This window comes from Homo sapiens, chromosome 11 (genome assembly GCF_000001405.40).
Source record: "Homo sapiens chromosome 11, GRCh38.p14 Primary Assembly".
NCBI lineage: Eukaryota > Metazoa > Chordata > Mammalia > Primates > Hominidae > Homo > Homo sapiens.
In genome coordinates, this window is record NC_000011.10 from 122,789,569 (window position 1) to 122,809,140 (window position 19,572).

Sequence of the window (19,572 nt, forward strand, 5' to 3'; positions counted from 1 at the left end):
TTCTGGCCGAAGAGTGGCATCATCCCAGTGCTGCGTCTTCACTGCTTTAGGGCTTCTGTCCACCTTATCCTGGGTCATGAGTCAGGGTGGTCTGATTTCCCGAAGCAGCTGGGCGGATTACTACCCTGCCATCCAGACCAATAGAGAAGGGGGTTTCAAGAGGCAGGAGCCCTAACTGTATCCTTGATTTGCTAAGTGACCCTGAGCAAGTCCCCAGACACAGCCTATGCATGCCTAGACAACAAAGACCATGTCTAAGGGAACAGGCAACTGCCAGACTGAAAAGGGGTCCATTTCCCCCCTCCCCTCTGCCAGTCTTCTTTAGGGTAATAACTTTCCACCCGTCCCTCATTACTATTTTGCCCCCATTCCATACTGGTACCACATTCAGTGGCCAACTTTGTCCCAATAGATAAAATAGAAACAAAAGCCATCTTCTCTTTCTTAGTTGGAGCAGCTCAAAGCCAGCGCTTCCCTGGCACACTGGGGCATCTAGCCAGGGTCTGCATGCTGGTTTGTTTTTCTCCCACTTGTTTTTGTCATGTGGCAACATGGCTGAGAGGCAGAAGCCCTGAGCGCCAGCTGCTTGGTGGCTAATATTGTTATTATTGCCATAAAGGAGAAGCAGAGAGAGATGATTTCATCAAGTCTTTTGCCTGGAAGGAGAAAATAAAGGTCCCCTACCCTAGTGAGCCACAAACAGACAAACCACAAATCCAAAGATGGGAAAGAATATTTTCTTCCTCAATAACCCCACCCAGCAATCCCTCCCCCTCTCCCTCACTCTGCTCCCACCTCAGCCCAGCCCATGAGCCTCCAGAATTGGATGGCACAAAATTAGAGGTCAAAGCTGTCTTATGTTCCCCAAACATTTTGCTTTTTCAGAAATGCTTTGGAAGATCAAAATATATAAGCTGGGTTTCCAAAGTCTCCATTTTAATCCCTACAACAACAAGTAAAGCAAAATATGCGTGAATAAACTGAGAACTAAAACATTATTTGCCTGACAAAGCACAGTTCTCAGATCTGTTATTTTTTATTTTACAGTACTTGGAGTTGCTGTTTTATCAGATCTCTTTCTTAAAAGTGGGTGTATGGCCAGGTGCGGTGGCTCACACCTGTAATCCCAGCACTTTGGGAGGCCAGGGTGGGTGGATCACTTGAGGTCAGGAGTTCAAGACCTGCCAAACCAACATGGTGAAACCGCGTCTCTACCAAAAATAAAAAAAAAAATCAGCTGGGCGTGGTGGCATACACCTGTAGTCCCAGCTACTCAGGAGGCTGAGGCAGGAGAATCACTTGAACCTAGGAGGTGGAGGTTGCAGTGAGCTGAGATCACGCAACTGCACTCCAGCCTGGGCAACAGAGCAAGACTTTGTCTGAAAAAAAAAAAAAAGTGGAGGTATATGAGAAGCAGTGCTGATCTCTTAGAGTTCACTCCATCCAAACCCACTCTTCCCTAAATTACAACTCAGGCCGATGTATAGGTGAACCTGAGTGACTTCGGTCAGTGCGTCCCAGGGAGGTCTTTGTGTCATCTTTTATTCGAGAGATTACTAATGATGTCATGTCTCTGAGAACAATGTCTGAAATTAAACTAACAGCTTCCACAGCCAACCCTGCTCAAAGTAGGTAAATAAGTTAGGCATTAGTTTATTGTGATTAAGAATTTGAGACTGGATTCCAATAGTCTTGGATTTAAACGATAACTCTCCCACTTACCAGCTGTGTGGCCTTGGCAAAGTTGCATTACCTCTCTGAGCCTCTGTTTGCTCATCTAGAAAATGGAACTAATAATTGCACTTACCTCATAAGGTTGTTGGGAAGACTGCAATACAGAGCTTAGCTTTACATGGTTCAGAGTCTGGTGTATAGCGGTGACTATAAAATCGCCATTTGCATAATGATGATTATTCTCTTTTTTCTATCTTGTGTTTGCCAGTCCTCACTTAGTGCTCATCAAAGGAAATGTGTCTTCCATAAAAGCAATCCTGTAGATGAACTGCACTTTCCTATTTAACCCCAGAGGTCAAATGACTCAAGGAGGCAGAGCCCAGCTTCCTTGTAAGACAGACACAGACCTTCTCTCTCTCCTAACCCAAGAGAGACATCAGGAGGTAGAGCCCCAGGGGGATGTCAAGCATGGCCTGGCTGGCATGGTGGGAGTTGCCCAGGGGATCCAGGCAACAAGTCATGACTGGGGGTCAATGATTTTGACAACACTCCCTGCCAAGTGCTTCTCAGTTCTCTGAGTCCCTCCTAAGGAAATATGTTCTCTCCACACTAACTGGAGTGTCTTACTTGGTTCTGAGTTATGAACCAAGACAAGTTGATGAAGCTGGGTGAGCTGCCTGGCCGCTTGGGCTTAGCACAGGCCTGGTGTGTTGCAGGGAGAAGCCAGCTCTCCCGATGCTTGAGATGTTCTGGATGTCAGGCCCGGCTTCCTCCCTCCACTGTTCTGAGCAAGAAGCATCTGACTGTTTTCTTACTGGAACTGGCAGCTCCACGCTGTCTCAGAGTGAGTCAGGTCCTTTGATTATAATGACAGTTAAGAAGGGAAAGAGGCTGGCATTCGTCTTGCCATGGGAGACGAAGGAGGGAGAGAAGGGATCCTATCAGTATCTTCACAGCTGCGATAAAGAAACAAACAGATATGTACAAGAACGATTCTAGGTAGCCAGACATTTTGCACCCTGAAGCTTTGATGAGTCAGACAATAAAACTGGATTTTCTTTTTTTTTTTCTTTTTTTTTTTTTTAATTTTTTCTGAGATGGAGTCTCACTCTGTTGCCCAGGCTGGAGCACAGTGGTGCAATGTTAGCTCACTGTAACCTCTGCCTTCTGGGTTCCAGTGATTCTCCTGCCTCAGCCCCCCGAGTAGCCAGGACTACAGGTGTGTGCCACCACGCCCAGCTAATTTTTGTATTTTGAATAGAGACGGGGTTTCACCACGTTGGCCAGGCTGGTCTTGAACTCCTAACCCCAGGTGATCTGCCTGCCTCGGCCTCTCAAAGTGCTAGAATTACAGACGTGAGCCGCTGTGCCCAGCCAAACTGGATTTTCTTGAACTGTGTGATGTTTGGGAGGGTCTTAGTTTAAAATAAAGTAGAATAGCTGGTCTATTATACTGTGTGAACGGCACAAGATTTCCTTGGGCTACAGTTACTTAAATTTTACTGTAACAGGTTTCACTTGGCAACATACGCAGATGGACTGATGCTGCTTTGTTGAACTGTAGGTTCCTGGGTCCCACCCCTGACCTACTGAGTCACAATGTGTGAGGAGCAGAACCCCAGCACGAGTGTATTTTTTTTAAGTCTCCTGGTGATTCTGATATGCACAAGGGTTCAAAATCAGTTTTTCAGGGCATGAGACTTCTGAGACTTCGTTTATAAGTAGATAGAATGAGTCTATCACTTCTAGTGAAAAAGGAGCCACTTCTGAAAGTGAAGGAACAAAAATTTACTAACAACCAGTTTGCTGTATTATATTGGTGAATATAAAAAGGTATTTTCAAAAATAAAATTATGGGCCAGGTGCAGTGGCTCACTCCTGTAATCCCAGCATGACTTTGGGAGGCCAAGCAGGCAGATCACCTGAGGTCAGGAGTTTGAGACCAGCCTGGCCAACATGGTGAAACCCCATCTCTACTAAAAATACAAAAATTAGCCGGGCGTGGTGACGCACGCCTGTAATCCCAGCTACTCCAGAGGCTGAGGCAGGAAAATCGCTTGAACCTGCAGGGTGGAGGTTGCAGTGAGCCCAGATCATGTCATTGCCCTTCAGCCTGGGCGACAAGAGCAATACTCCGTCTCTAAAATAAAATAAAATTCTGATAATACAATGTTAAAAGTGAATAATCCAGAACAGGTGGTAGCCTAAACGGGTTGCCTCATCAACAGATGCAAGCCAGGAGTATATGGAGCAAACTGGGATGGATGGCTACCCAAATTGTAAAGAAGCAAGAAATCTATAAAATTTAAATGTTTCCCCTGGACTCTGCTCAGTGATTCCAAAGATGTTCACTGGATTTGCCTAACAACCATATTTACATTGCAATGTTTATTAGATAAAGCTTTGTGGAAGTCTTAACTATTGACAATAATTTAAGCTTGGCAGGTTTTGACTGTCTTCCTTTCAGCAAGACCTCTTTTAGGCTTCTGTAGCTATAGTGTTACACTCAGAAATGACAGTTCTTGGCTCACAGCTCTAAACGTCTGGTGAGAATGGTCTTCTCTGAAATAATTCTATTTGTAATCATCTTGTTGGAGGCGTGATTGAGGGGGAGATAGGGTTTGGAGACCGAAGAGGGTAGAATAGGGGACTTTGGCACAAAGTTTCCTTGACTGTTAGGAGCCACTGGCTGAGGTGGAGATGGTGAAAATACCCCCCATCACTCTTCACTTCAGATGGAAATTACCACGGGAAATATTAAAGGCAACAGGGATCGTAGATTTCTTTTGAACCAGAAAAATAGCTGCAAACAGATCATTGATACGTTGTTATTCTTGAACTTGTCTTTGGTGCCAACCATGCATGGCACAAAATCACTAGGATCCATCCCTGCCCAAAGGAATGAATATATCTGTCCTCAGTGCAGAAATCCATCTACCTCTAATTTATTTATTTACTTATTTTTATTCTTATTTCTTTTTGAGACGGGGTTTCGCCGTATCGCCCGGGCTGGAGTGCAGTGGTGCGATCTTGGCTCACTACAACCTCCACCTCCCAGGTTCAAGAGATTCTCATACCTCAGCCTCCCTAGCAGCTGGGACTACAGGCACGCACAACCACGCCCAGCTGATTTTTTGTATTTTTAGTAGAGATGGGATTTCGCCACATTGGCCAGGCTGGTCTCAAACTCCTGACCTCAGGTGATCCGCCTGCCTCGGCGTCCCAAAGTGCAGGTGTGATCACCACACCCGGCCTACCTCTAATTTATTAACTGCAAGACTTCAGTATAAAACAAGGTATTTTTCCCTTAGGAATGAGGCCACTCCTGCTCAGCATCCCCCATCATTGTGCTACCCACAGAGGGCTTTGAGTTAACTCCCACACTCCTGTTGAGCCCAGGAGGAAGTGCTGATGACTGCTGGCCAGAGCAGTTAACACCTTCCTTATCTTCCTCTGCAGTTCTTATTCAATCTTAAATACATCGTCATCCAACTCTCTCACGTTTGGGGATGGAGTATTGGAGAGGCGGCCTTATGAGGACCAGGGGCTCGGGGAGACGACTCCTCTTACTATCATCTGCCAGCCCATGCAGGTAAGGCTGATTGCTAGGGTCACACCCCCAACTCTAACCAGGATTCACTGAGAACCTATTTATTAAGCATGAGGCCTTGCCCTTGCTGTCTCCAAAGCTTCCACGATCTCTTGGGAAGAAAGTACACCAAATTATAAAAGATATACAAAAATTCAAGGCTAGGAAGAGTCAGATGAGCAGTACTGACAGTTACTTCCAGCATTTGAACCTAGGTTCATAAGGAACGTTGTTCCACAGAGATAGGAGGAGAGTTTATCTCTAAAGTAGGAATAATGCCCATAGTTGTATCTGTTTTGTAGGTTGTTACAAAGATTAAAGAAAATAATAAAATTAGGCTCTTAGCACCATAACTGGCATATAATGAGTGCTCAGTATGTGTTAACTTTTTCAAGGAAGGTTGGAGATGGAAGGAGGCAGGGAGTCGTTGTTGAACAGTACAAATAGAGGCAAGCTGAAAGTTCAAGCATGTTGAGGATCAAGAGAGTAACCATTGTGGCTGGAGCCCAGGATTTAAATTAAGGAACAACAGGAAAAGAGATGGGAAGGATCATGCCACCGTTCCACATATTAACCACGTCAGGGCAACTAGAAGCAAATGTGAAGTGCTGGCCCGCGCTAAGGAAACTGGAAAAGCTGACTGCATCAGAAAGACGGAATGCAGAAACAGCTGTAAGGTTCCATCCAGCAGTTATAGAAGCCAAAGTCATTTGGACAAGCCTTTGACTAGATTTGCCTATGTCATCACCCAGAGGTAGCAGTTGTCTCATTTTGGGGATCATATATATAGTCAGACAGCAGAGGCTACATAGTGATTAGAATAGGAAAACAGGGTCTCATTACTGGAGCAGACCATGAGGACCATGTGGTCTGTCCACACACTTTAGAGAAGAGGTAGACACATTTGTGATCACAGAAGTCCTCACTCCCTGAAGAAGTTGATGAATTGCCCCTTTTTGGGGGGAAGGTGCCCCACTAGATGGCTCTCTCTACATGAATGGCTAGTTTTACCTCTGAGCTGTAACTTAAAGTGGACGTCATATTTTAGTGGCCACTTTAATGGCCAAATGCTACTCCTACAAAGAGCAGCCGTAGCAACAATAATGCCCTTTTCATAACCCTTCCTATTTTATAAAGCACATGCAGTTTATCTTATTCCAGCCTCCAAATAACTTATGAGGTCTGTAGGACGAGTCTTACTGTCCTCACCAAGTCATACCTTGGCAGAACTTTGGTAGTAGAGCTCAGCTCACCTGGCACCTGGCTCCAAGACATGTCCACTTTGCCATGTGTGTCTTCACTAATAGCCTTTCTTTCTCTGCAGCCGCTGAGGGTCAACAGCCAGCCCGGCCCCCAGAAGCGATGCCTTTTTGTGTGTCGGCATGGTGAGAGGATGGATGTTGTGTTTGGGAAGTACTGGCTGTCCCAGTGCTTCGATGCCAAAGGTGAGTTGGTGGTGGGCCTGCTCAGCACTGCCATACCCATAGTGGCCTCTAGGCGGCACAGTCAAGCTACAGTTATCTAGATGGAGTCATTCATAGTTTTGCGTACTATAGAAGATGTCTGTCATGTGTAAGCCCCTCCTGATTGTCTTGAGCTTTAGAGAAGAAGTAAGTGTTCTTGTCCCCATTCTATAAACTGGGATACCACGGACCAAAGAAGACAGATGTCTTGCCCCAGGTCATATGGCAAAGTCAGCAGCAGAAACGTGCCCTGATCCTATGGCCAGAGTTCCTGCCATTAAATCTCCCTGGCTCGCTCGGTTCCATTTTCATTTGAGTAGCATTTGAAGATACAGAGGCTTGCTTAACCAGGGAATCTCACCTGCTTTAAAGTGCCTGGTTATTACCTTCACTGAGAAACTACCTCATGTCACTTTTGTCAGTAGAATGGAAAAGTGGATTCCAAGTCACTTTATGAAACAAAATGTCAGCCTTGATATTTTCTATCAGCTCCAGAGAGCTCAGTGTGATCTCTTTGGCCAAGAAGGAATGGGGGTGGAGAGTGTCAGGATCAGTAAGGGAGTCCCAAGTAAACAAGAAATGTATGTATCCTCTGTCTAACCTCTTTGTTTTTCAGGCCGCTACATACGCACCAACCTGAACATGCCTCATAGTTTACCTCAGCGGAGTGGTGGTTTCCGAGATTACGAGAAAGATGCTCCCATCACTGTGTTTGGATGCATGCAAGCAAGACTAGTGGGTAAGTATCCTGGAGTGACTGCACTCCAGGCATTTCTTGCCTCCTCCTTCAAAACACTGGTACCATGGATATGCAAGACACTTCCTGTGGGTTTCTATAACTTTCCTACAAGTTTCCTCAATTCAAAAGGAACTTACTACACAACCATTAAGTTTAGGACACTGTGCTCAGCCCTGGGTTGGTTGACCAAAGTGAATGAGGTGTGGTCCTTATTGAGGAGCACGTGATCCAGTAATGGCGTGGGTTACTGTGCTCACTCTTGGATGTAGCAGACAGGTCAGCTTCTAGTTCAAGACAGCAGCATCTGCCAAACATGGCTGTGGAAGAGGACAAGAGTGAAGAAGATGGACCCTGGACTTGCTGAATTTGTAAAGGCCAACTGATCCTTTGAAGATGCCTAGCTCTTTGCAAGCCCATTCCATTACTGGCACGGGGAGATAGTATTTTCTGTTCAGTCACTTAGCAGATATTTAGTGCTCACTTACTTTGTGCAAGGTATTGGACTAGGGGAACCCAAGTGTGAGTCAGGGAAACAAACTTATGTGTGGATAAATATCATACAATATGATATACATAGAGCTATGCACTAATGTGTATGTATTGATTGCATGCATCCAGACATAGTGATATGCATAGAGCTATGCATGGTCACAGAATATTATGGGAACACAAAAAGACATCTAAGAGTGAAGAGGTGAGCTGAGAGCTGAAGTAGAAGTTAGCTGGGCAAAGAAGGAATAGGAGTGAGGAAATGGCATTCTCAGTGGGAGGGACCACATAAAGAGTCTTAGGCTTGAGAAACAGCCTCAGGAATGCAGGGGAAACAAAGTGTCTTGTGTCTAGAGTATAAATTGTGAGGCAAGGCAGAGATGAGGCTAGCAAGATGGATAAAGGCAAGTTCATGGAAGACCTTGGCCACCATATTAAGGTGTTTGGATTTAATCCAGTAGACAAAATAACTGGATTCCAGGCCAGGCGTGATGGCTCTCACCTATAATCTAGCACTTTGAGAGGCTGAGGCAAGAGGATTGCTTGAGACCTGGAGTTCGAGGCTGCACTGAGGTATGATCACACCCCTGCACTCCAGCCTGAGTGACAGAGCAAAACCCTATCTCTAAAAATTAAATTAAGAATAATAATAAATTTTTTAAAGAAGTGGATTTTATGAGGATAGCATTAAAGTATGAGGTGTTGGGATTTATCTCTGGTATCTAAAAATATGACATGTTGAGATTTTGGTTAGCACAGAATAAAATTAAAACAAGACCTAATATTCATAAAATAAATCCTCTTTCACAAACTTGAAGCCAAAGTATTGTCCTGTTTCTAAATATCTCCTAGCTAAAGCCTTTACCACTTGTTAGCACCAGAGGGAAGGGAAAGAAAAGACAAGAAGGGGCCAGGTGTGGTGGCTCACGCCTGTAATCCCAGCACTTTGGGAGGCTGAGGTAGGCGGATCACGAGGTCAAGAGATCGAGACCATTCTGGCCAACATGTTGAAACCCCATCTCTACTAAAAGTACAAAAATTAGCTGGGTGTGGTGGTGCGCGCCTGTACTCCCAGCTACTCGGGAGGCTGAGGCAGGAGAATGGCTTGAACCCGGGAGGCAGAGGTTGCAGTGAGCCGAGATCACACCACTGCACTCCAGCCTGGCGACAGAGCGAGACTCCATCTCAAAAAAAAAAAAAAAAGACAAGACAAGAAGGGCTCTGTCGCTTGCTCTCATAGGAACGCCGATGAGGGGTTTTGTTAGAAACTAACAAAGGCTGAAACTACTGGCTCTATGTGAGCCCCAGTTAGGAAAGAGGGGTTTACAGGAGCTTACTGCTTGGCCCCCTCTCACACTGCGGGTCAAGGTGAGACTGAGTAAATCCATCAGACTGATTTTTTTGTGGTTTTCTTTGCAGGTGAAGCCTTATTAGAGAGCAATACCATTATCGATCATGTCTATTGCTCCCCGTCCCTTCGCTGCGTTCAGACTGCACACAATATCTTGAAAGGTAAGACTTGCAGGTTGACAAAAACAAGTAGTCCATCCCTCTCTTTCTAGGCAGCCCCACACATAAATTATCTTAGAGCCATGGGACATTTGCCAGTTGAAAGCTTTGAATCTGGAATGAAGCAAGGATTCTTTCAGAAGGCGATCTTTGCACAAGTCACAAAAACATACTCTGGGCCGGGCACGGTGGCTCATGCCTGTAATCCCAGCACTTTGGGAGGCTGAGGCAGGCAGATCACCTGAGGTCAGGAGTTCGAGACCAGCCTCAACATGGAGAAACCCCGTCTCTAGTAAAAATACAAAATTAGCCAGGTGTAGTGCTGCATGCCTGTAATCTCAGCTGCTCGGGAGGCTGAGGCAGGAGAATTGCTTGAACCCGGGAGGCGGAGGTTGTGGTGAGCCAAGATTGCGCCATTGCACTCCAGCCTGGGCAACAAAAGTGAAACTCCATCTCAAAAAAAAAAAAAAAATACTCTGGCAGCCTAAGCAAAATAAAAGGAAGTATACTAATGTTTTCCTTGAGAATTTAAAGTGCTCTTGGATGAATCCTAGGCTTGCAAAATGTTTAGAACTTACAGAGTGTGATCCTTTCTTTACACTTAATAGTCAAATAACTTTCCTGTTTTGGTCTGTTGTTTGCCTCCTGTTGACAGCAGCAAGGGTGCTCTTAGGAGCCTCAAATCTTAATCATCATTTTTTTCTTTACTTAATTAGAAAGACTTTAAAAGCACCATTGCTACCAAGATACTCAACTTTCACCCTAAAATCTGTGGAAGCGTGAGTTACAGGTATCTCCATTCTCATTTCATGGGAAGGAAAACTAAAAGCAACAGGATTAGACTGTTTACTTCTACCAAGAAATGAATGAGCCAGAAATAAACAAGCCAACAAAGAATTTGACACTGCATCTGAGTCTTCTATCCTTTAACCTTAAGTAAACCTCTTCACTACCAGAAGGGATTTATGTATTAAATTTGCACAGAACAACTGGACTACATGCAATATGAAGATAACTAAGCAGGGACTATTTCTAGGAAGCCAGTTACACTACAGTAAAACAGAGGACTTCTACACCGCTACTAGTAAATGTTCAGCATTAGATTTTCTGATAGAGAAAATGAATAATTTACATGATATTCAAATACGATGTTGGATACTCAGAGACTATCTGAAGTTTCTTGGTAAGGCCATCATGGAATTTGCTTTAGAAAGAGGAATTATGGGGGCCAGGCGCAGTGGCTCACGCCTGTAATCCCAGCACTTTGGGAGGCCGAGGCGGGCGGTTCACGAGGTCAGGAGATCGAGACCATCCTGGCTCACACGGTGAAACCCCATCTCTACTAAAAATACAAAAAAAAAAAAAAAAAAACAAGAGCTGGGCTTGGTGGCAGGCGCCTGTAATCCTAGCTACTTGGGAGGCTGAGGCAGGAGAATTGCTTGAACCCAGGAGGCGGAGGTTGCAGTGAGCCGAGACTGTACCACTGCACTTCAGCCTAGGTGACAGAGCAAGACTCTGTATCAAAAAAAATAATAATAATAAAGAAAGAAAGAGGAATTATGGTAGTCACAGAATTGAATAAATTTTCTTTTTTTGAGATAGAATCTCGCTCTGTCACCAAGGCTGGAGTGCAGCTGCACAATCTTGGCTCACTACAACTTTCGCCTCCTGGGTTCAAGTGATTCTCCTGCCTCAGCCTCCTGAGTGCTGGGACCACAAGTGCACGCCTCCACACCCTGTTAATGTTTGTATTTTTGGTAGAGATGGGGTTTTACCATGTTGGCCAGGCTGTTCTCAACTCTTGGACTCAAGTAATCTGCCCTCCTCCGCCTCCCAAAGTGTTGGGATTACAGGTGTGAGCTACCGCACCCAGCCTCGAATAAATTATATGGATAATGAGCTGTGGCTTTTTTCCTGAAGTCAGATATGACTTAAAGCCAGCATACATCCTGGGGGTACGGCAGGAGTATTAAACTCATGTATTAGTAATGCACAAAAATTAAAAACCTTGTCCAAATCCACATGCTTCCATTTCTGTTTAGCTATATATAGCAGCCAGTAGGAAAGAGAATAGCTGATTTATCAGAATTTTTATAACAACTTGGCCTGAGAATCCACAGGCACTTTCTTCATCTTCACTGTATTTTACCCCTAAGGTTTACAACAAGAAAATCACTTGAAGATCCGTGTAGAGCCCGGCTTATTTGAGTGGACAAAATGGGTTGCTGGGAGCACATTACCTGCATGGATACCTCCATCAGAGTTAGCTGCAGCCAACCTGAGTGTTGATACAACCTACAGGTAAGCCTCGGAAACTGCTGCTTACTGAGGCCAGTGTGGAAGTGCTTTCTGCACTAGCACTAGGCCAGGTTCAGGAAGGAGCCAGGGCTGGACATCACCTACAGGCAGTTGTCCATAGTGGTGGAAAACGAGCTATGATTTTAGAAATCAAAACTGGAGAAAAGCCAGCATTTTTTTCATATTTGGCATTAGTGTGGATTAGATTCTCCAGCCTCACCCCCGTGTTGGATTTTTCTGACTTTATTATACCTGTTTCAGTGTAATAAAACCATTTTGCATTCCAGCAATAAGCACGAGCTAATGATGATGCAGTTGAGAAGATTGGAGCGATAAGGGAGATGATGATGTCTTGTCTTACAGTTTCTACGTTTAATTTTTCAAAGCATTTTTAAATCTCTGTATTATCTTTGTTTATTATTGCTATATCCCCAGAATGTAGGTAAACCATTTTTATGTATGAGAGAGTTCAAATAACTTGCCTAAAGGTATTTATACATTTAGTGACCACACATAACAATAATAATAATAAACTTTATTCATCATTTTCCACATGTCCAGCACCATGCAATCTGCTGTACAGTCATCTCATTCCTGTTCCTTTCCTTTTTCCATTAGACCCGACTGTGCTGGGATTTTAAAAAGTGTTTGTTGATTGCTTACAGGTGAATAATCTGCATGTATACAATTAAGAATTAATAATAGGGCTGGGCACGGTGGCTCACGCCTATAATCCCAGCACTCTGGGAGGCCGAGGCAGGTGGATCGTGAGGTCAGGAGATCAAGACCAGCCTGTCCAACATGGTGAAACCCCGTCTCTACTAAAAATACAAAAATTAGCTGGGCGTGGTGGCACACGCCTGTAGTCCCAGCTACTAAGGAGGCTGAGGCAGGAGAATCGCTTGAACCCAGGAGGCGGAGGTTGCAGTGAGCCAAGATTATGCCACTGCACTCCAGCCTGGTGACAGAGTGAGACTCTGTCTGAAAAAAAAAAAAAAAAAAAAAAAGAATTAATAATAATATAGTTACCTTAACTATCAAAAGTCTACTCAGGTATTTGTAAAAATCTCTTTGAGAAGGAACAGATAGTCACAACCATTATAATGGGGAATTAAGTTCATATTTCTTAAGGCAGAGTTTGTAACAAGTGGTCAATATAAGCAGAACTTTCTTATGTGATATCTGTTGACCTTTCATTTTAAATACCTACCCAAACCACATTAAAGCAATGTGCATTTCTGGCTAAGGTAATAGACAATATATTCTTTTTCCATACTCATTTTTTCTGTTCAGCAAATAAGACCTCGGATAACCCCATTAACTAGTTATGTGCTGCTGCTGCTGCTTGTCTTAAAGGAATTAGCATTCCTCAAAAACAAAATTAGATCAATCAACAGGATCCCCTATGAATACACTTCACATTTTGTTCTATCCCCTCTCTGGCCACTGGTTTTCTGTTCTTTGCAGGGAATTAGCAATAAATTGTTGTCCCCCATGCAGCAGCCAGCATCCCTTTGGCCTGGAAAGAGGAGGAGTTGCCACCAACATTGGTTAAGTGACTTTCACCATTTACCACCAGCCCCACCCAGACCAATTTAGGTCAACTATGTATTTTATATTTCCTCTAGATGTGTTTTGCCATTGCCTCCCAAGCGGCCTTACAAAGGTCTCCAGAATCGTCCTACCTGAGCCTGTCAATGTACACTCAGATACACACCCCACCAGCAGTGTGAGCAGAAGGATGAATGCCAGGAGCCTGGGGATCAGGACACAGTCCTTATTCCAGATTGCCTTTTCCTCTCCGGCAAATCAGAATTCAATTCAACCATTTTCTGTTTGGCGAGGGAGTTGGGGTAGGAGATGAAGCCTCTAATTTGAAAAATCAGTTGAGAAAGCCAAAGTTGAAGCATGTGAAAGGGACAGCCCCGGAGTTTAATTCCCTATGAAATTAATGATGCCAAATGGACAAGCCTTTGGAAGCAAGGAAGTGGTGCCCAGATGATTGAAGACATGTGGTGACAGGCAGAAAGGGAAGCCCTGAGAGCCGGGGTAGTGTGAATCAGGCAGGCTCTGCTGAAAGAGCCCTCTCACCTTGCAACAGGGGTAGGAAGAGAACAGGAGGGAGGTGGGACTGAAAGCCGAGTTAGGGAAGCTAACCAGGCTGGTGACTAATATTGAAGCATCATCCACAGGCAGCAAGACCAGCCCAGGGCCTGGGGGGGTTGAAAACAACCCCAGCCTTGAGGAGCTGGGCCAGAGGAGCAAGGCAGAAAAAACAAAATCCACACCAGCTGGGTGGGGCTTCAGAACAGAGCCCTGACTCAGAGGACAGGGGACTGGGGGAGGGTATGGATCTGGAGTGTTGGAGGGGAAACAAATCAAACTTTGGCATGAGGCTCAAAGCAGAGGCCTGTGCTTACAACCTGGACCACAGCAAGGTGGGGAGCAGAGAGTATATGGGGGAGGATACAGTTTCGGGGATGCCACCTGACTTCCAGAGCACCGTATTCCAGGTTGAGTGGGTGGGGGGAAGGCCACCTGACTCTGAGGACAGTACAGGGCCTGCAGGTGTGGCTAGCAGCATGACGTGACCTGCTGACAAGGGTGAGGAAGCTTTGACTCAGGCCAAGCCCATCAGGACTCCAGACACTGGAGTCATTCACAGGCTCCACTTTAAGGTGCTGGGAGAAGCCATAGGCAAGAACTGATCAGGACGAACCAGATCCCAGCATGTATCCCGCTCTTCACCTACATAAATCTCACACATTACATGGTCTCACACTTGAAATGACTCCCTGGGCCATACAAAGTGGACTTTTGTCACTGTGGGCAGGGGATGGGCCTGGGAGATGAGGTGACATAAATGGTGATGGAACTGGGTGAGAGGTGGGGATGGGGACAGAAAAAGAGGAGAAAGCTTGCTCCAGAACAATGAGGTACAGCCCCAACAAGTGGTGATTCAGGTCTCTACCTATCCCCCAGGGTGTTGTGAGACTCAGAAGGCTGTTTCCTAGGAGAAACAGGCATGCTGAGAGAATGCAGGATATGGGCAAGTTTCCTTCAAGTGGAACGGCATCCTTCCCCTGGACAGTAAGCCGGTGTGCACAGAAGGCCAGGCTTAGCAAGGGCACTGTCAGAAGCTGTGTGTAGAGGATCGGCTCACAGGCCAGACTCCAGACTCAGATTCAAATCCAGATTCTAAGAGTTGCTAACGGTGTTAGCATAGGGAAGTCAGCTGCAGCCTTTCTGAGCTTCTGTTTTGTCATCCATAAACAGCATTTATGAAAGCATTGCTGGGAGGATTAGACCGAAGAAATGCAAGCAGGACACTCGCACAGAGCCTGACACATATGGGAACCTCAGTAAATATTTTCAGTGCTAATAGTAGTGGTAATAGCCTACTTCTGATCAAGAGGCCATGTGAATTCATTTTGAGAACTTACCACACCTCCACCAGGCACTAAACACCCAGCAGTGAAAGACAAAATATGAAAATTGACAAAATAAGAAAATTGAAATGACATAGTTGTACCCAGAAAACAAGATAAACATCTTGTGGACCAGAAACAACATAGAAACTCTACATAGTTAAGCGGGGGTGGAGGCAGGCAGAGGCAGGCCCCAAGGGCATTGGTGACTGGGTTTGAAGACATGCAGGGGCACCGGGACAGGAAGCCTAGCTTTGATCATCCTCTTCCATGCTGTGTTAGTTCGTTTTCACGCTGCTGACAAAGACATACCTGGGACTGGGCAATTTACAAAAGAAAGAGGTTTAACTGGACTTATAGTTACATGTGACTGGGGAAGCCTCACAATCATGGCGGAAGGCAAGGAGAAGCAAGTCACGTCTTAACATGGATTGCAGCAGGCAAAGAGAGAGCTTGTGCAGGGAACTCCCCTTTTTAAAACGGTCAGATTGGCTGGGTGCAGTGGCTCATGCCTGTAATCCCAGCACTTTGGGAGGCCGAGGTGGGCGGATCATCTGAGGTCAGGAGTTCAAGACCAGCCTGGCCAACATGGTGAAACCCTGTCTCTACTAAAAACAATACAAAATTAGCCGGGTGTGGTGGCGCATGCCTCTAATCCCAGCTACTTGGGAGGCTGAGGCAGGAGAATTGCTTGAACTCAGGAGGCGGAGGTTGCAGTGAGTCGAGATCGAGCCATTGCACTCCGGCCTGGGCAACAAGAGTGAAACTCAATCTCAAAAATAAAACAACAACAACAACAAAAAACAAATAACAAAAAATAAATAAATAAAAATTTTAAAAAATAAACCATCAGATCTTGTGAGACTTATTCACTATCACGAGAACAGCACAGGAAAGACCTGCCCCCATGATTCAATTATCTCCCACCAAGTCCCTCCCACAACATGTGGAAATTCAGGATGAGATTTGGGTGGGGGGCACAGCCAGGCCCCCAGGCCGGTGAGGGACACACAGTATCACATGCCTTTGTAGATTGTATAGTAATTATCATTTACATCAATAACCTCTTCACCCCAACCACAGGCAGAGAACTTTTCCAACACAGAAATTGAGTGGTCTTCATCTTTATGCTTTGCACTTCTCCTTGTGCCAAGTGTATGGTCTGTGTTCAAAATAAGAGAGAATTAAAGGAAAAGACTGGTGAAATTTGATAAACTCGCAAAGAATCAGATGGACCTAATATCTGCGTTTAAAACCCATCCTTGCTGCTCTTGAAGAGAGGTCTGGGAAATCCCTGCTGATCTAAATAGGTTGAGGGTTCCATCTCTGCTTTGTTTTGTATTAGCTATGTGACTAGGACCATCCATCAATGGCTTATTTGTTATCCCGAGAGTGAAACATGCACTGAATGTCTCATTTTTCACCTGGTCACTGTAACGCCATACACATAGCTGTTATTTCTGTACATTTCCACTCCATGTTCATATAGTAGAAATGCTGTTCCCTATACCTTTCTCCTTTCTAGGGAAATGGATAAACAAACAGATCTACGGGATCTTTAGAAATGCCTTGAAATAAAAGTTTAGAGTGATATCTTCCTTTGTCTCAAGATCAAAATGTTTTCATTTCCTTTGTTCATTTTTCTATTACAGACCTCACATTCCAATCAGCAAATTAGTTGTTTCAGAATCCTATGATACTTATATCAGTAGAAGTTTCCAAGTAACAAAAGAAATAATAAGTGAATGTAAAAGTAAAGGTAAGTGGTATTATTCTGAACTCCATCTGTACATACGTGATTATTTCTCTATAATGGTTAATAGGTTATTCAAGATGTTTCAACTTGCTTTGGCTAACCAAAGAAATGTATTTCCAGATTTTCTTCCAGATACTTTTACATTAAATTTGTAATATTCTCTGAGTTCCTAAAATGGTAGATATTCCAGGGGTTTATACCAGACTTAGTTACTATTCTTAATAACTTAAATTCTGCGTTATAGCTATTCTTCTTGCACCCTGTGAAAGAGATTCCCTCTTATAATTTCCAAAAGCTCTAGCATGCCACTGTTTTGCCTATAATTGATGCAGCGGCATGCACACCTACACACAGCACACCTACACAAACACATACACCTTCCCTGCTATCACCAACCAAGAGCAGTGTTGTATAAGGCTCAAGTGTGTTTGCTATTGAATTTTCTAAACACTGAGCTCAAATATTTAATATGTAAGACTGTTCACTATCAATTTTTTAGTGAAAAAGGCATATTGCAAAAAAAGTATGGACATTCCCTTCATCTCTTTTTTTAAGTTAAAATACTTATATTCAAACAGTAGGCAGCCATGAGCAACAGTATTATGAATGATTCCCACCTTCCAGTTTTCATTGATTAGCCACTCACTACCATAAAGGTACACAACATGTTCTATCAACCAGGAAGTCTCAAGTGCTCATAGTTCTATAGTGGGAACACTTAAAACTATGTTAGAAGGAGTTGCACAGACAGCCCTATGGACACACAACAGTCCTGTATCTTGATTGTCATGGTGTTACAAAAAGCTACACATATGATAGAATTGCATGAACTGTATCGTCACATATGCACAAACGACTTCTTGCACACCTGCTAAAATCTGAATACGCTGTGTGTATTGTACCAGCGTCCATTTCCTGGGTTTGATACTGTACCATAGTTATGTAAGATGTTACCATTGGAGGGGGATGGGATGAAGGGTTCATGGGATCTTGTCGGTATGTATGTATATGTATGTAACCCTCCCATAAATCCATAATTATTATTATTATTTTTGAGACAGGGTCTTGCTCCTGACACTCAGGCTGGAGCGCAGTGATGCAATCATGGCTCACTATAGCCTCAATCTCCTGGGCTCAAGTGATCCTCCCACATCAGCCTCCCAAGTAGCTGGGACTGCAGGCACAGGCCACCACACCCAGCTAATTTTTTAAAAATTTTCTATAGGGACAGGGTCTCACTATGTTGCTCAGGCTGGTCTCAAACTCCTGAACTCAAGTGGTCCTCCCTCCTCGTTCTCTCAAAATTACTGGGATTACAGGGATGAGCCACCACACCCGGCCCCATAAATCTGTAACTATTTTAAGATAAATGTTTTCTTTAAAAAGATTAAGCTGCCTTATCAGTAACAAAGCACTTTCAAAATATTGCTTAGGCAAATTGTCTTCTTGAGTGTGTTTGCTCCCCTGCAGAGCATTTAGTTAGCTTCCAGTATTTGCAAAGTTTCCATGTCTTTATAGAAACAGTCTTCCCATACCTTGCCATTTTCCCCCAGGAAATAACATCCTGATTGTGGCCCACGCATCTTCCCTTGAAGCGTGTACCTGCCAACTTCAGGGCCTGTCACCTCAGAACTCCAAGGACTTCGTACAAATGGTCCGAAAGGTAATTCATTCTCGTACTTTGGGGTCCGTGATGGCTAGTAGTTTGAAGTCAGTACAGTGACTGGCTGATTACCAAGTTCTTTGAAGCATGTGTTTATGCTGAGCTGGGAATATTCATTTATTGCTTCACTCAACCAAGATGTATTGAGTGATACTCTGTGCAGGGCACTTTATTAAGCCTTGTGTTAGAAAAACAATGTATGAGAGCTAGTTCTAGCTTCTAAGAGCTAAAATGTAGGAAGCAGCTAGGAATTATAAGCAAATTGTCTGGATTTCCCTGAGGGACCTTCTCTGAATTTCCCTGAGGGAACTTGGGTTGGATCAATAGAGGTCAGTCCAAAAGACAGCATCTGAAAGCTTAACTCAAACACAGGTCCTTGAAGGTAGGCCGAGGCATGCAGCAGTTTCAAATGAGGAGGCTAAAAGGCAAAGCCAGGAACAAGACAGCAAGACAGAAAACCCATGAGGCTGACCCACACATCTGGAGTCTTCCTTTCTGTGCCTGTGGGAGAGGTTTTCTGGTCAGCTGCCTCCCACACACTTCCCTTCAGGCAAATTACATACTTCCTTTCTCTGCCGCCAGAGAACCTGGTTCAAACTCAATTGCAATCTTTTTTCACATTTTTGAAAAGTTTATTTATGCATCTGTCCTCATTTGTAAGTGCTGGAAGACAGAGAATTTTGTCTTGTTTGTAAATGCAGCTCTGGACACAGACAAAAATAAGTTTTAAAATTGCTGTGACAACTGAAGTGAGGGAGAGCACAGCTTCAGCTTTGAATGTTGCAGAGACTCGTAAGGAGAAAAAAAAAACGGGTGAAACAAATTTTTTCAAATTGAAAAATATTTTCCATTGGGTCCAAGTATAATTTCAGAAATGTTTGAGCTGACTTTTTCTTTTCTTTTTTCTTTTTTTTTTGAGACAGAGCCTTGCTCTGTCACCCAGGCTAGAGCACAGTGGCGTAAT

At 44.3% G+C, this 19,572-nt stretch overlaps 1 protein-coding gene across 4 annotated transcripts in view, besides 2 other annotated features; it reads left to right on the forward strand.

Annotated features, from left to right (window-relative positions):
• UBASH3B (ubiquitin associated and SH3 domain containing B) overlaps positions 1-19,572 on the forward strand; it is a 158,752-nt gene that overhangs the window by 133,847 nt on the left and 5,333 nt on the right. For all 4 annotated transcript variants that reach the window (NM_001363365.2, NM_032873.5, XM_005271712.4 and 1 more), the window contains exons 7-13: positions 5,134-5,266; positions 6,588-6,708; positions 7,343-7,465; positions 9,374-9,466; positions 11,620-11,764; positions 16,842-16,948; positions 18,499-18,608. In NM_001363365.2, the coding sequence (NP_001350294.1) occupies positions 5,134-5,266; positions 6,588-6,708; positions 7,343-7,465; positions 9,374-9,466; positions 11,620-11,764; positions 16,842-16,948; positions 18,499-18,608 (832 nt within the window). The remainder of the gene's footprint in view (positions 1-5,133; positions 5,267-6,587; positions 6,709-7,342; positions 7,466-9,373; positions 9,467-11,619; positions 11,765-16,841; positions 16,949-18,498; positions 18,609-19,572) is intronic.
• Positions 13,702-14,444: an enhancer, noted in NCBI's record as "H3K27ac-H3K4me1 hESC enhancer chr11:122673978-122674720 (GRCh37/hg19 assembly coordinates)". NCBI's record gives its function as "activates a minimal SCP1, AML or CMV promoter by ChIP-STARR-seq in primed H9 embryonic stem cells {active_cell/tissue: H9 hESC(primed)}" and the evidence as "EXISTENCE:reporter gene assay evidence [ECO:0000049][PMID:30033119]".
• Positions 15,248-15,766: an enhancer, noted in NCBI's record as "NANOG-H3K27ac hESC enhancer chr11:122675524-122676042 (GRCh37/hg19 assembly coordinates)". NCBI's record gives its function as "activates a minimal SCP1, AML or CMV promoter by ChIP-STARR-seq in primed H9 embryonic stem cells {active_cell/tissue: H9 hESC(primed)}" and the evidence as "EXISTENCE:reporter gene assay evidence [ECO:0000049][PMID:30033119]".